Source organism: Homo sapiens, chromosome 11, assembly GCF_000001405.40.
Source record: "Homo sapiens chromosome 11, GRCh38.p14 Primary Assembly".
Classification (NCBI taxonomy): domain Eukaryota; kingdom Metazoa; phylum Chordata; class Mammalia; order Primates; family Hominidae; genus Homo; species Homo sapiens.
Genome location: NC_000011.10, coordinates 98,751,684 through 98,769,378, shown reverse-complemented (window position 1 = coordinate 98,769,378; position 17,695 = coordinate 98,751,684). Strand labels below are relative to the sequence as shown.

Genomic DNA, 17,695 nt, shown 5'->3' with positions numbered 1-17,695 from the left:
TCATCCAGATGAGACACCAGGCCCATCATTCATCATGATTGCTTCCTTAGGCCTCCAGAGTTCCTGTTTTCCTACACATTGTTACATTTCTTCCCTACTATATTAACACCTAATATTAGTTGGTGGGGAGAAGGATCTGAGACTGAGCTCCCATTTGCTCAGCTGCAGCACCTGATTAAAGCCTTCTTCCTTGGCAATACTTGCCTTCTCAGCCGTTGGCTTTCTCTGCAGTGAGCAGCAGGACCTAGAACAAACCCTTGGTTGTTCGGTAACACTTTGATTTCCAAACAGACCATTGAATAGACATTCAGTATGTATTTGCAGAATTAATACATAATATGAAGCCAAAATCTTTTCAGAATATTATAGAACAGGACAGGCACTAGGTGATGAGAACTTCGCTAGGACAGGTACTGCATCTTGATGTATATATCGTCACCTTGAGGTGGGATAGAGATCAAATCTAGTAGACAACATTATATTGAGCCCTAATTACAACTTGAATGATACCTACCGTAATGTAAAATTTTCAGATTAATTTAGTTTCAACATTACTTTTTAGATTCTCTTCCAAAAGTAGAGTGACGATAGTTGCCTGATCTATACAAAAGTGATTCTAGGCTATACAAGTATTTTTTCCACATATAATGTAGGTGTGGAAAGTTTAGTCTCCTATATAAGTGGTCTCTCCAAAGTGTGGCACACATTCCCCAATTTTATTCCACTGAGGAGTAGGAATAAATTCTATTTCTGCTATTCTAAATAAAATAGAAAGAATGAGCCTTTACAAGTATTTATATTACAGATTTACTCTAATACCCTCATGTAGCCTCTATATAAGAAAACCTGATACGTCTTAAGCATAGTGCCTAGTACAGATTTTGTGTTCTGTAAATTGTGCTTAGTTTAATGTGCAATACAGTGTAGCTTTTATTATTTTTGTAAAAATATAAAGTTATTTTTATAATAGTAAATAACGTTCTTAAAAGAGAATAGGCATGAAGCAATAATCTTATTCCATACTGTTTTTACTATCCATTTCATTCAAAACCTTCACTCACAAATCATTTACTGAGAACTCATCATGAGTCAGATGCTCCTCTCACAGTGTATCAAGAAACAAAATCCCTAAGATCTCTTTCTTAAAGAAGTTACATTCTAGCAAGAATAGTTTCATCAATAAACATATATATTAGTAAATTATATGTAGCATAAAAATAGTAATAAAACTATGGAATATATGAAAATGAAGAGCAGAGTAGGAACAATAATTGGAAGTGAAACTGGTGGGGTCAAATAGGTTGCAATAGAAAATCTGGTGGTGTTTTCTTGCTGCTTTGGTTGACACCATTTACTATATTCAAAATCATGATCATTACCTTGCTAAGTTTTCTTAAATACTAAGAACTATCTTAAAAAGAACTCAGTTCTGTATTTCCATCCATCTGTAGAGAAGAAAACAACTGCTTTTACTATTGAATTTTTGAGCTCCTTAAATGAGATATATGTTGGTTGAATTGACCTAATCAACTACCCCTTTTAAGTAGTGTTGAAAACCTCATATTCCATAATCAACTTTGTGAGAGAATAAACAGGGACAGGCTGGGTTATACATTAAAAAAGGATAAACTTTCTATCAACTTAATAATTACACAACTTATAATGACAAAACTGAATTTCCCATCAACTTAATTATACAATAAGCAGAAAATAAGTTACTATTTAGTGAACATTCATTTTGTGTAGGCATATTATGCACTTTAAGTAATTTATTTCATTAATTCTTCAGAATTGCCATGTGGTAATTATAATCCTTTTACAATTGAGGAAATCAGGTTTCAAGGAAGTGAAGGAACTGTCTACAGTTATACTTAGATTAACAGGGCTGAAACGTAAATCCAGCCTATCTGACTCCAAAGTTAATGGCCTTTTCACGACAGCTTCAAATATTCTTTGTCTTCTACATTCTTCTTTCAATTCTAATAGCAACTGAAATAGTTCTAAACAGAATGGAAGCCTGATCTTGATATATCTGTACTATTCTCATTTTCACACTTTAGGTTCTTATGTAGGACAAAGATAAAAATTCAATTTTTCTTGAATTTTTGCAACAGTTGAGTCATTTTTATATGTGAAGAATACTTTCCTAAAATAAGAAACAAGTGCCCATTTCTTTCATTACTCTTTTGTGGTGTCACAGACTTGCTAATTAGCTCTCTCTCCCAACTCCTGTGACATTTTACTCTGACTTAGGTCACAGTGACTCACACATGAAAGTCAGTGATTGAAATGGTGATGCCCAAAAAGGATAGTCAACGATGAAATACGATAGTATTTTTTCCTAACAGTTGAATGATATAATGTTATCTGCACTAATTTTCCAGTGCTATTGTCTTTAGAATGAATCACCTGTCAAGGCCCATATGTTAAAATTGGCTCTTTTACTGCAAGCTACTACATTCATTTATAATTAATCTTACTAAATGTGGGGTAAAAGGATCAAAAGTTGTATTATACTAGTCATCGTATGCCTTGTTTGCAACAAAAAAATAGTATAAATTGTTATTTATTCCAGGCATTGTGTGTGTATGCATGCATTTGTGTGTACTTTCATTTTATTCTTACACTCACACAAAAGATTTTAGTGATGAAGGAAAAGCAAAAACAGGGTTACTGACCTATATACCTAGAGATACTGTTACATGGCTGGAAATCAGAACTACGTTTTCACACGATAAATACATCATCTACTACACTATCTCCTTTCTGGTAGTAGCGTAAACTTCCTAGCATTTAGTCAAAGTGACTATTTCTTCAATATGCTTTTTTTTTTTTCAAAGATAACTTAATATGGTTCCACTAGACATGTGGTTTTCGAAGTACGTTCTCCAGACTTCTAGGCATTTCAGAGAAACTTTCAGGGAACTGTTTTGTCACAACAATTTTCATAATAACACTAACACATTATTTGTCTTTCTCACTGTACTAGTATTTACACTAATTGTACAAAAGCAATGGTGGAAAAATGATTGGTGCCTTAGGCAGTAGCATCAAACTATATGATCACTGCACTCCTTACCTCTACACACTTAACAGTAAAAATAGTATCAATAAGCAATAAATCAATAAACTGCTAGCTAACCAAACAAAAGCTACTTATAAGTTGCATACACTGATAAAGCAAGAAAAATGTATCACGTCAACTACTGCCTCTTTAGCACTTAACTTTTAACATTCTGCGGGAAAAATGGATAGTGTACAGGAAGCACATCTGCTGCAAGCCAGAGTACAATATTATTCCCCAATAAAGAACTTGTATGATTGTTTTGAGTTGTGAAATGAACTAGCTGCTTTTTTCATGCAATATCATTTTTATTTGAAATAATGACTGAGAGTCAAACAATTATTCAGATTTGGGTAATCAGCTAAAATGTTCTTGAGAACAAATGAAGTAAACCTGTCATTTCCCACACACAAAAACTGACAATGACTAAGGATAAAATTCCAGCTTCTGAGAAAAAGCTGTAATTTGGAAAAATTATCTTTGTCATAATGAATTTGACAGTTTCCTAAGACATAGTACAAGAATTTCAGATATCAGATTCCACATCTTACCTAATTTTTAAGAAAGCACTACTGAGAAAGTTGTTGAATTTTGGTGTAGTATAAAAGTGTAACATCCATCATGTTCTAAAAAAGGCTATCAAAATATGTATTTATTTTTTAACTATGTATCTGTGTGTCTGGATTTTTTTTTTCATGTTGCAGGACTTTCCCTTAGGTCAGCTAAAGACAGGGTCCTTGTCCATCCCACAGCCATGAAAATTTAGGCTCACAGACAATTGGAGGGGGTGAGTAAAGCAGGGTTCTGTTGGGTGAAAAAGAAGAAAACATGGAAACAGGGACTCTCACAAGGCCAGAGTGTCTCTGCTAGAGCATTTTCCGCCTGCAGTTTCAATCCAAGATTCCACACAGGAAGAGAAAGGGCCAGGCTCCTCCCCACTGTAAATGCTGTAAACTTCCCGAGGCTCCACCTCAGTGGGCAGGCTGGTTGGAGTTTCTCCAGGGATCCCCTCCCACCTGGCTCTCTCAATGCCCACTGTGAAGAAGTATATCTAACTGCCTTTAGATTAAGGATAAGGATGAAGACCATATTAACTGCTTCCTGCTGACAGGGGGCACTGTTTTGGGGAAATGGCAGTCAGAGCTCCCTCAGAGGCCCAGCAGAAGAGGCCATCGTCAGAGGCTCTGGTTGCATGACCATTTGGAGTTTGATGGCCTGAAGTAAAGAACAGTCAAACCAGGTCACTAGAAAACATGTATCAAAATGCAACAAAGGCAGGGGTAAGGACAGCTCAAAAATTCTGAGGTCTTTTACCAGTTTGCACAGGGAGAAGGGAGGGCAAAATCCCACCTGGATGAAAAAACTTTACCCTTTTGCTAGCATGTTGGACTTCTGGGAGTCCCTTCCCCTGAGCCCAATCCTAAGCCAGCCAGTTTAAGGTTTGGGAAATTAACTCCGTCTAGTTTGGAGAATGCATCTGAGGAGAGTGTCCTGTTAGTACAGACACATAATTGCCATCAGTGAAGAGAGGACAGAGGAGAAGAAAGGAAAAAAACAAGGTGTTTTTTCAAAGGAGTCCCAGGGGTCCTGGATGCATTCTAAAGGAGTACAGAGTGAAGATGAATGGCTACTCATACAGAAAGAGAGGAGCAGACATCCCTGGTTCCCTTCTCTTCCTAGCAGATACCTGGGGGGTACATGACAGAGAGGGGAAAGAGCATCCTCTTTCCCTTCTTCTGTCCTTGCATCCCCGAGTCCCAGTGACCTTGGCAGGTACCACCGTGAGTGCCAAAGCAGCTTGTACCCATCAAACATGGGGGCCTAGAGACTAGGCATTACCAGCTCTCACCTAAATCTCCTTCCACCTACTGTCAGTAGCCTTGGAGTTTCCTAGACCCCATTTATACCATGGATACTAGCGTGGCCTTTATCCATGAAACAGGAAGCTTGGGCTTGGCTTAATAGGCAAGAACCAGCCACGCTCACCTGTCCTGTGCCTTTTAACTTCTGTTGACATTTGCCTCTGGATTCCTCAGATCTAGTTTTTTTTCCTAGGGCTTTGATCCAAAGCTTGGAATTCAGTTTTGGACAAAGATATGTCTCAGGGGGGTTGCACAGATGGCTTATCATAAGCCAAATACTAAGATGAAACCGTGGAACTGAATTCTCCTCTAACAAGGGAGAGAAAAGGATGTCTTGTGACACACCCAGCTAACTGGTGGCTATAGTTATGCTTGCTAGGATTTGGTTACATGGTACTCGTCTTTGGTTAGTTCCCTTCGTTTTACTTTCCCAAAAAGGAAACCTACTTTCCCAGAAAGGCACCCAATTTATTCCCATTGAGAGGTGACAGCGTGCTGGCAGTCCTCACAGCCCTCGCTCGCTCTCAGCACCCCCTCTGCCTGGGCTCCCACTTTGGCGGCACTTGAGGAGCCCTTCAGCCCACCACTGCACTGTGGGAGCCTCTTTCTGGGCTGGTCAAGGACAGAGCCGGCTCCCTCAGCTCGCAGGGAGGTGTGGAGGGAGAGGCGCGAGTGGGAACCGGGGCTGCGTGCAGGGCTTGCAGGCCAGCTGGAGTTCGGGGTGGGCCTGCGCTTGGCGGGCCCGCACTCAGAGCAGCCGGCCGGCCCTGCCAGCCCCAGGCAATGAGGGGCTTAGCACCTGGGCCAGCAGCTGTGGAGGGTGTACTGGGTCCCCCAGCAGTGCCAGACCACCTGCGCTGCGCTCGATTTCTCACCGGGCCTTAGCTGCCTTCCCCGCGGGGCAGGGCTGGGGACCTGCAGCCCGCCATGCCTGAGCCTCCCACCCCCTCCATGGGCTCCTGTGCGGCCTGAGCCTCCCCGATGAGCACCACCCCCTGCTCCACAGCGCCCAGTCCCACCGACCACCCAAAGGCTGAGGAGTACGGGCACAAAGCACCGGGACTGGCAGGCAGCTCCACCTGCAGCCCCGGTGCGGGATCCACTGGGTGAAGCCAGCTGGGCTCCTGAGTCTGGTGGGGACGTGGAGAACCTTTATGTCTAGCTCAGGGATTGTAAATACACCAATCGGCACTCTGTATCCAGCTCAAGGTTTGTAAGCACACCAATCAGCACCCTGGGTCTAGCTCAGGGTTTGTGAGTGCACCAATCGACACTCTGTATCTAGCTACTCTGGTGGGGCCTTGGAGAACCTTTTATGTCTAGCTCAGGGATTGTAAATACACCAATTGGCACTTTGTAGCTAGCTCAAGGTTTGTAAACACACCAATCAGCACCCTGTGTCTAGCTCAGGGATTGTGAATCCACCAATCGACACTCTGTATCTAGCTACTCTGGTGGGGCCTTGGAGAACCTTTGTGTCGACACTCTGTATCTAGTTAATCTAGTGGGGACGTGGAGAACCTTTGCGTCTAGCTCAGGGATTGTAAACGCACCAATCAGCACCCTCTCAAAACAGACCACTCAGCTCTACCAATCAGCAGGATGTGGGTGGGGCCAGATAAGAGAATAAAAGCAGGCTGCCCCAGCCAGCAGTGGCAACCAGCTCGGGTCCCCTTCCACACTGTGGAAGCTTTGTTCTTTCGCTCTTTGCAATAGATCTTGCTACTGCTCACTCTTTGGGTCCACACTGCCTTTATGAGCTGTAACACTCACTGCGAAGGTCTGCAGCTTCACTCCTGAAGCCAGCGAGACCACGAGCCCACCGGGAGGAACAAACAACTCCAGACGTGCCGCCTTAAGAGCTGTAACACTCACTGCGAAGGTCTGCAGCTTCACTCCTGAGCCAGCAAGACCACGAACCCACCAGAAGGAAGAAACTCCAAACACATCTGGACATCAGAAGGAACAAACTCCAGACACGCCGCCTTTAAGAACTGTAACACTCACCGCGAGGGTCTGCGGCTTCATTTTTAAGTCAGTGAGACCAAGAACCCACCAATTCTGGACACACCATCACCTGGCAGGATGTGCAGGATAATCGCTCAGAACTAGAATATTAATCCAGATTTTTACATTACACATCCCTCTTGTTCTTTCTGAGTTGCAGCCAGAGACTGCTGGTTGGCTCACAGGAACAAGCAGGGTTCATCTAAAATGTAGGCAAAAACTTAACTAGTGAGTTTAAAATTTAATGACGGCCAGGCGTGGTGGCTCACACCTATAATCCCAGCACTTTGGGAGGCTGAGGTGGGCAGATCACCTGAGGTTGGGAGTTCGAGACCAGCCTCACCAACATGGAGAAACCCTGTCTTTACTAAAAATACAAAATCAGCTGGGCGTGGTTGAACATGCCTGTAATCCCAGCTACTTGGGAGGCTGAGGCAGGAGAATCACTTGAACCTGGGAGGCGGAGGTTGCAGTGAGCCGAGATTGCACCATTGTACTCCAGCCTGGGCAATAAGAGTAAAACTGCATCTCAAAAAAGATAAATAAACAAAAATTAATGACAAATGTATAAGTTTTGAAACAGTTTTTCTCTCAAGTCCTGATTTTTGTTTAAAAAAAAAATCATCATAAGACTGAGTTGTTTGCAAAACAGACTTTAGTCTTATACTTGGCCTGGTTATTGGTATAAAATGTAGCAAGAGTAACTATTTCTACATAGGCCTTTTCGATTGGCTTTGATGGAAGTTTGTCCCATAAAGAATATCAGATAAGACCCTTTAAAGCTGAGCCTAACCATGGGTTTCTATTCTCAAACACCTGTGAGTTGGGTGATTCTCTCCTTTTAAGGTCCCAAGATAAACTTGGAGCTCCTAGACCTGTTAGAAAGTGAGCGGAGATCGCACCACTGCACTCCAGCCTGGGCAACAGAGTAAGACTCTGTCTCAGAAAAAAAAAAAAAAAAAGAAAGACAGAAAGTGACATTATTTACTGACCACAGGACAGGAACCCTGTACAGGGATTGTGTAGATGAGAGTATGAGGCCAGTTTCCCCATTGGCTTTTTATTGGTTCTGCAAGTTGAGATTGACTCCCCAAAGGGAAGCATACCCTTCCAGTCAAAGCCTTGGTAAAATAACCATTTTCCCCAATTGTGTCCTGTTGCAAAAGAAAAACAGATACTTATTGCACTGATGCAAAGACCTATATTACCATAAAATTAAGAATACTCACAGATAGGTTCTAAATTCTGGAGGAACCAGGCAGAGAGAAACAAACATGCCCCAAATTTTGATTACAGGATTATAACTTGCTTAATTATTAAAGGTCATAAATAGTTGAAAATAAGTTTCTTTGATGCTAAAAAACAAGGATAAGCAATATTACAAGCAAAGTTTAAAGAGATTGCTTCAGCTTTCTGAGTTCAGTCCATTTAAACTTATTTTGCTTGACATTTGTGAACATTTGAGCTTTTTTTTAGTCCTGTACATTTTCATTTATTAAAAAGTTACAATCTCCAAAGTTATCAGAAGTCTGTATTTCAGAGTACCTGTTAAAGTTCTACAGCTTATTACATACCATGTTTTGAAAAGAATTAAAATAAGAGCAACATGTCCAGGGTAATTACAGTTAGAAACACAATTGACAAAGAAGCTGGGTCATCTCCATGGTTTACAACAACATAACGAAAACCTTAATTATGATTGATAGCATATATTCAGAGATTAGAGCTTTAGAAATCCCACACAATTTTGGAACATATATCAGCATTATTCATCAAGATATAACCTAAAGCAGATTGAAACATCATTTTGGCAATCCCATGTACCTAAACATGTCAAATAATCTTGTTTACCTCTCTTTTCTAAACACTTCAGGGGCCCTCTGAAGTATTAGAAAAGCCAGATGCCAGGGAAGACAATGTTGAAACTGAAGTTTGATTTTGAGAATCACTTGATATTATGATATATAATTCCAGATTACCATACATTATTTATTTTGCCAAAATGACGACTCAGACATTTTAAAGAAGCAAAAACCTTTTATAACCCTTTATAAATTATGCCAAAGAGCAGATTAGAGTTTTAAGAATACCTTGTTGTGCTTTTATTTCAACGCTCAATTTACCAGAAAACCACATAATACCCTTTTCTGAATTTAGTCAATATGTTCACACAGAGAACCTCTTCTGCAAGATTCCCACAATTCTTCCACCACTTCTTTGAACCTTCAGCTTTTTCCTGATTTAACTCAAAACCATCCTTTAACCCTAGGTAAAAGTTTATTTTCCATGCCTTCTTATAACCTTTTACTAAAAAACACATTTTACTGTTTTTATACACCTTGCATGCAAATCTGTTTCTCATAGATTCAATTAACTCCTAGCAATTTTTAACTTTAAGGTAAAACTTGGTAAGTTGCTTTAATTGTGTGCTAACTGCAGCCAAGATTTGCCTTCTTAAGAGTGTGGCTAGTTTCCTATGTCTTCAGGCCTTACTATTTGTGAAGCCAGCAAGTCAGAGTTCTCAAAATCCAAAAAGGAGTTTGTAACCTTAAAACATTTAGAAAACCTGGGCTCTGACCTGCATAATTAAGCCCACTATTTACATTTTAGTGACATCTGCATTTTACCAATACTCTTTAAGGCTATTTTATTTCTCAAAGATTAAAGTCAGGTGAACTGAAAGGTACTGCAGCTTTTATCTTTCCTTAAAGAAAATACTTGATCCAAGCACTTTTCTTTAGGCCAAATTAATTAGAACTCATTTTACAGACATCACACACAGTACACACACAGACAGGCAGAAGAAAACCCATTCACTGGGTGGGGCCCTTTAAGCGACAGGGCTAAGAGAACATGCAGATATCAAACAGAAAGAAACTTATTCCGTAAAGGAGGATTGCTAAACCAAGTCTTGCCACCTCACCGGGAGTTACAAGCCATGCTCCCAGGATGCAAAACAAGATGGAGGCTTAGAAGTTTGTTAGAAACCATACAGACATGCAAACCACACCAGATTGGCCGCAACCCAAGACCAGCCCCGCAAATCCTTTTTTACAATTAAAGCTTTACAGAACATATAAACGGTGATAGGTGGGGGGCCTGGCTTAGTAAAGGGGAAAAACTTTAAAGGTTAACTGTTGACAGGGTGAAGAAGAGGAAAGAAAAAAAAAGTTTAAAAATGCCTGGGGAAAAACCTCTTATTCTTATGCAAGTCATTCCTCCACCAGGGAGAAAAGTTTAATTACTGTCTGATGGAGCTGAATCTCTTGGCCACGGAAGGAGAAGGCTCTAGCGGTTCACAGGGGAAAGCACCAGCCAGCAGCCCCAGGTGCCTTAGGTCAGGAATCTAAGCCCAGCAGGGAGTGCGGGGTGAAGGGGAGCTGCTGCTCACAAGTTGGTCTTGAAAAGGGAAAGAAAAGGCCATGAAAAGGCGCAGGAGCGATGGGGGCTGGGGGAATGGTTTCCCCCATCTTCAGAAGTCCGAGGATGAAAAGGCTTAGAAGCAACCGTGAGAGGTTTTGAGTTCTCATTTTACTAAAAGCTTCTCCAGCCCCATGTTGGGCACCAAAAATGTTGCAGGACTTTCCCTTATTTCAGCTAAAGATAGGGTCCTTGGCCATCCCACGGCCACAAAATTTTAGGCTTGCAGATGGCTGGATAGCTTGAGTAAAGCTGGGTTTTATTGGGTGAAAAAGAAGAAAAGGGGGACACAAGTATTCTTGAAAGGCCAGAGTCCCTCCGCTAAAGCACTTCCCACTGGCAGCTTAAATCCCAGATTCCACACAGGAAGAGAAAGGGCCAGGCTCCTCCCTGCTGCAAAAGTTGTTAACTTCCCAAGGCTCCACCTCAGTGAAGGGTGGAGTTTCTCCAGGCACCCCCTCCCACCTGACTGTCTCATTCATAGACTGCAACTAATGCAGCATGATTCAATGGATTGAAACTGGAAGTACCTGTAAGAATTCATCTGTCTTCAATGAACCAGATATTAAAGTGTTTTCCATAAAAGTAAAAATCGTAGTCACTCTTTTTGTTAATTTTTTGGAAAACATATTAACAAATATATTGTGTATGTTAACATGCAATATGTTTTTACTTAAAAATAGACATTGTTACACTAAGTTTTAATTTTCTGTATGGTAAACATTGATAGATGCAACCCACATAAACAAAGTCTGCAGGCCCTCAATATTTTTTAAGGTAATTTTAAACTTTTATTTCTGAAAAGCAATGCAAAGCCCAAGGTAGTAAGCTAAGAATTTACTAACAAAATTTAAGCTCCCTACTAATATCTTAAAAATCCACACAATAGGCCAGGCGCGGTGGCTCACGCCTGTAATCCCAGCACTTTGGGAGGCCGAGACGGGCAGATCACGAGGTCAGGAGATCGAGACCATCCTGGCTAACACGGTGAAACCCCGTCTCTACTACAAATACAAAAAATTAGCCGGGCGTAGCGGCGGGCGCCTGTAGTCCCAGCTGCTCGAGAGGCTGAGGCAGGAGAATGGCGTGAACCTGGGGGGCGGAGCCTGCAGTGAGCCCAGATCGCGCTGCTGCACTCCAGCCTGGGCGACAAAGCGAGACTCTGACACACACACACACACACACACACACAAAAAAAATATTCCACACAATAAAAATATCAATAACCACCTACCTTAACAAAGTGATCTAGAAAGGTTAACTATAAAAGAAATAGAGAAACAAATATTACTGGAGAATGGAATCTATTAGGAACGTATTCTGTTGGTGCAAAGTAGTTGCAGTTCTTGCCACCGCCACAATTACTTTTGCACCAACCTAATAAGTTTTTACTGAATAAGAACACGTGAATAAAATAAACACAAAATGGGATTAGAAAAAAGTTAATATTCATTTATAACTTTAGAAAAAGCAAGATTCAATGAAAGATAGAATATTTTATTAATACAATATAGGATATATATGTAAAAACAATCAAACTATATGTATGTGGAAAAAATTAATGGCTATATCATTAAGTTAAGGAATCCTAAAAGAGCGCTGACAGTTTAATTTTTCTGAACGTGATAGCCAATGGAGTAAGACAAAATATATATGTCAGATTTAGAAAGGAAAAACTAAATATATTAGTCTGTTTTCACAGTGCTATAAAGAACTGCCTGAGACTGGACTATTTTGAAGGGAAAGAGGTTTAACTGACTCACAGTTCTGCATGGCTGGGTAGACCTCAGGAAACTTACAATCACGGCAGAAGTCAAAGCAAGGAACCTTTTTCACAACGCTGCAGGAGGAACTACAAAACACTTTTAAAACCATCACATCTCTTGAGAACTCACTCACTAATCCCAAGAACAGCACAGGGGAAGCTGCTCCCATGATTCAATTACCTCCACCTGGGCTCTCCCTTGACCCCCTGACACGTGGAGATTATAGAGAGTAAGCGGATTACAATTCAAGATGAGATTTTGGCTGGGACACAGCCAAACTATATCACCAAATTATCATTTAGTGAGAAAAAAAATCAAAGAAATTAACAAAAATTATTTTTAAATAAATTAAAAATACTCACCAATAGAGACAAGAAAAAATAGCTAAAATTTTTAATAATTTTATATGCACTAGTGAATGAAGAAAAAATTTTTTGAAATTTATAAAAGAGAAAAATTATCATCTACCTAGGAAATGATTATTTTTAGAGAATTTCATGAGGTTATTGGTTATAAAATATTATACACAAAATCAAAACACTTTCCATATACTTGTAATAATTAGGTATTAAACATTATGACAGAAATTCCCAGGTAAATCACATAGCTTGAACACGCTTACTTCCACGCCCTGTCAAAACGGAAGTAATTTGTTTACTGCATTAATTTACAAGGACCGAGGAAATGGGATTGGTGAGAGATGAGAGCAAAGAAAATGATAGTTTTAGAACCTGGAAAGCAGGTGGATCAGATAAGAAAAAGATAAGTGCTTCTGGGAGAAGCCAAGAAACAAGCCCGGAGGCTGTATGAGTTCAGTCAGGAATGAGGCCTTAGGTGCCACTGAAGGTGAAATGGCAGGTGGAGATGATAATAGGTCTCACTGAATTTCCATTCTTAAAAAAAAAAAAAAAAACAAAACGGTAAAGCCTGGAATTCCCGGCCCCTCCTCCTATGTGTGAGAAAAGTCCCTAATATGAAAAAGGGAACCCTGAGAAAGCAAAGTAGAGGCAGGGAGGTAAAATCATGTTGAAAGGCAATATGATTAATATCCTGAGAGACTTTTTTTAAAAAGAGATATTGTACTCTTAAAAGAAAGGGATAACATTCAAAAAGACTAATGGAGTCGGGCACCGTGGCTCCAGCCTCTACTCCTGCACTTTGGGACTTTGAGAGACCAAGGCAGAAGGATCACTTGAGGCCAGGAGTTCAAGACCACCCTGGGCAAGATAGTATGACCCCACTCCATCTACACAAAATTAGCTTGGCATGGTGGCACACAACCCATAGTCCCAGCTACTCTGGCTGAGACAGGAGGAGTGCTTGAGCCCAGGAACTGCAGGTTACAGTGAGCTATGATGGCACCAGTGCACTCCAGCCCAGGCAATAGAGCAAATGATACCCTGTCTCTAAAACAAATCAAAAAGACTCATTGAAGACAGCTCTTATAAAGGTAAAGAAATAAAACACAGAAGGAAAAAAAATTATTACATGGATTATTTTTCAAGAAGGCTATTTAATAGAACTATTTTAAAGAGCAATAAAATTCAAGAAAGAAAAAAGAGAGAGCAGATAGCAATGGAAGTGGAGGAGAGGGAACTATGAGAAATGAAGACCCACCGAATGCTCAGCAGATTTAATAAGGGAAAGGAAAATTCACACCAAGATACATCATTGTAAAATTTCAGAATACCTAGAGAAGGAAGTTTTCATGTTCTGAAACTTTTAGAAAGAAAAAATGACATTTGCATAGAAGTTATGATTAAAATACCATCATTTAATATTGCATAATTGTACAAATGTTTCCATTGAGGAAATATGAGGGAAGAATACAAGGGACTCTTTACAATTTTTGCAATTTCCTGTGGGTCTATAATTATTTCAAAATTAAAAATTTACAAGATTTCTTCAGACACTGCAACAGCAACACTGGAAGCTAGAAGACAATTAAATAACTTAGCAAGGCCTGCACATATCTGATGGGAAATGATTTCCAACACAGAATTCTATACTCAGCCAACCAATTATTCAAGTGTTAAAAAAAAATTTAAGTCTCAAGCAATTTTACTCTAAAGACAAATTTCTTATATTCCTGTAAGAAGTTCCCTCACCAAATCAAGAGAATAAAACCCAAATGAATAAGATATGAAATCCAAGAAACATGATATCCAGATGAAAGAGGTACTTAGGAAATCCTCACAATGATGATAAAAGGGCAGTTCTGGAACACAGTACGGGAAAGCCAAAAAGCAAAAGACCAAGTTGGAAATGAAGGCTCCCAAAAGCAATGTCTCCAAAATAAATAAATAAAATCAACATACTATGTGATACGTTTTAACTCCTTGAAAAAAGATTTATATTTCTGGTGAGACTCTGAGAATTAATAACAATAGTTAAATTGAAGAATACAAGGGAAAAGAAAAATGAATCACTCAGCAACCCACAAAAAATAAAAAGATGACCAAGGAAAGCAATATACAATGGAGGCATCATTTATAACTAATAATAGCAATGTCATAATAATATAAGCAGTGAATATTAATTTAACTAAAATGTTTGGGGTAGGTGGCATATATAAGAGAATATGATAGGAATCTAAAGATATGAAATTCAAAATTCAAAAACAGCAATGTGATTATGTTTTTTAGAAATATAGAAGTAAAAAGAAAATTAAAAAGCTAAAAGATTGGAAATGGTTTCCTCCAGAGTATAACAATTAGACTGGGGTAGGCCGGGCATGGTGGCTTATGCCTGTAATCCCAGCACTTTGGGAGGCCGAGGCAGGCGGATCACGAGGTCAGGAGATGGAGACCATCCTGCCTAACACGGTGCAACCCCGTCTCTACTAAAAATACAAAAAATTAGCTGGGCGTGGTGGTGGGCGCCTGTAGTCCCAGCTGCTGAGGAGGCTGAGGCAGGAGAATGGCGTGAACCCGGGAGGCGGAGCTTGCGGTGGGCCGAGATGGCGCCACTGCACTCCAGCCTGGGAGACAGAGCAAGACTCCGTCTCAAAACAAAACAAAACAAAACAAACAAAACAAAACAAAACAAAATTAGACTGGGGCCAAGTGGAGCAAAGTGTTCTCATTTCTCATTTTAAGAATCATTTGACTCTCTAAATTATGTTTATGAAATGCTTTGAATAATATTAGATTAAATTAAAAAAAAAATATAAATAAACCTTTAGGTTCTCTTGACAGAAAGTGAGAAACACCTAATTCATCCACCCTCAACTTCTCATTTTAATACCAGTGAAAGCATTTTTTAAATTATACTTTAAGTTCTGGGGTACATGTGCAGAATTTGCAGGTTTGTTACTTAGGTATACATGTGCCACGGTGGTTCGCTGCACCCATCAACGTGTCATCTACATTAGCTATTTCTCCTAATGCTATACCTCACCCAGCCTCCTACCCCTTGACAGGCCCTGGTGTGTGATGTTCCCCTCCCTGTGTCCATGTGTTCTCATTGTTCAGCTCTCACTTATGAATGAGAACATGCTGTATTTGGTTTTCAGTTCTTGTGTTAGTTTGCTGAGGATGATGGCTTCCAGCTTCATCCATGTCCCTGCAAAGGACATGATCTCATTCTTTTTTATGGCTGCATAGTATTCCATGGTGTATATGTACCACATATTCTTTATCCAGTCTATCATTGACGGGCATTTAAGTTGGTTACATGTCTTTGCTACTATAAATAGTGCAGCAGTAAACATACGTGTGGATGTGTCTTTACAGTAGAATGACTTATATTCCTTTGGATATATACCCAGTAACAGAATTGCTGGGTCAAATGGTATTTCTGGTTCTAGATTCAGGAGGAATTGCCACACTGTCTTCCACATAGCTGAAATAATTTACATTCCCACCAGTAGTATAAAAGCATTCATATTTTTCCATAGCCTCGTCAGCATCTGTTGTTTCTTAACTTTTTAATAATCGCTATTCTGACTGGCATTAGATGGTATCTCATTGTGGTTTTGATTTGCATTTTTCTAATGATCAGTGATGTTGAGCTTTTTTTCATATGTTTTTTGGCCACATAAATGTCTACTTTTGAGAAGTGTCTGTTCATATACTTTGCCCACTTTATGATGGGTTTTTTTTTTCTTGTAAATTTGTGTAAGTTCTTTGTAGATGCTGGATATTAGCCCTTTGTCAGATGGATAAACTGCAAAAATTTTCTCCCTTCTTACAGGTTGCTGGTTTACTCTGATGATAGTTTCTTTTGCTGTGCAGAAGCTCTTTAGTTTAATTAGATCCCATTTGTCAATTTTGGCTTTTGTGCCATTGCTTTGGTGTTTTAGTGATGAAGTCTTTGCACATGCCTATGTGCTGAATGGTATTGCCCAGGTTTTCTTCCAGGGTTTGTATGGTTTTATGTCTTTAATCCATCTTGGATTAGAGATTTAAGTCTTTAATCCATCTTGAGTTGATTTTTGTATAAGGTGTAAGGAAGGGATCCAGTTTCATCTTTCTACATATGGCTAGCCAGTTTTCCCAACACCATTTATTAAATAGGGAATCATTTCCCCATTGTTTGTTTTTGTCAGATTTGTCAAAGATCAGATGGTTGTAGATGTGTGGTGTTATTTCTGAAGCCTCTGTTCTGTTCCATTGGTCTGTATATCTGTTTTGGTACCAGTACCATGCTGTTTTGGTTACTGTAGCCTTGTAGTACAGTTTGAAGTCAGGTAGCATGATGCCTCTAGGTTTGTTCTTTTTTCTTAGGATTGTCTTGGCTATGCAGGCTTTATTTTGGTTCCCTATGAAATTTAAAGTAGTTTTTTCAAATTCTGTGAAGAAAGTCATTGGTAGTTTGATGGGGATAGTAATGAATCTATAAATTACTTTGGGCAGTATGGCCGTTTTCATGATATTGATTCCTCCTATCCATGAACATGGGATGTTTTTCCATTTGTTTGTATCCTTTCTTATTTCTTTGAGCAGTGGTTTGTAGTTCTCCTTGAAGAGGTACTTTATATCCCTAGTAAGTTGTAGTCCTAGGTATTTTTTTTTTGTAGCAATTGTGAAAGGGAGTTCACGCATGATTTGGCTCTCTGTTTGTCTGTTATTGGTGTATAGGAATGCTTGTGATTTTTGCACATTGATTTTGTATCCTGAGACTTTGCTAAAGTTGCTTATCAGCTTAAGGAGATTTTGGACTGAGACGATGGGGTTTTCTAAATATACAATCATGTCATCTGCAAAGAGAGACAATTTGACTTCCTCTTTTCCTAATTGAATACACTTTCTTTCTTTCTCTTTGCTGATTGCCCTGGTCAGAACTTCCAATACTGTGTTGAATAGGAGCAGTGACAGAGGGCATCCTTGTCTTGTGCTGGTTTTCAAAGAGAATGCTGCCAGTTTTTGCCCATTCAGTATGATATTGCCTGTGAGTTTGTCATAAATAGCTCTTATTATTTTGAAATACATTCCATCGATAACTAGTAAATTGAGAGTTTTTAGCATGAAGGGGTGTTGAAAATTCTCAAAGGCCTTTTCTGCATCTATTGAGATAATCATGCAGTTTTTGTCATTGATTCTGTTTATGTGATGGATTACGTTTATTGATTTGCA

The 17,695-nt window shown here is 39.6% G+C and overlaps 1 annotated feature.

Annotated features, from left to right (window-relative positions):
- Positions 10,173 to 10,373: a silencer, noted in NCBI's record as "peak1434 fragment used in MPRA reporter construct". NCBI's record gives its function as "represses an SCP1 promoter by STARR-seq MPRAs in K562 erythroleukemia cells {active_cell/tissue: K562}" and the evidence as "EXISTENCE:reporter gene assay evidence [ECO:0000049][PMID:32103011]".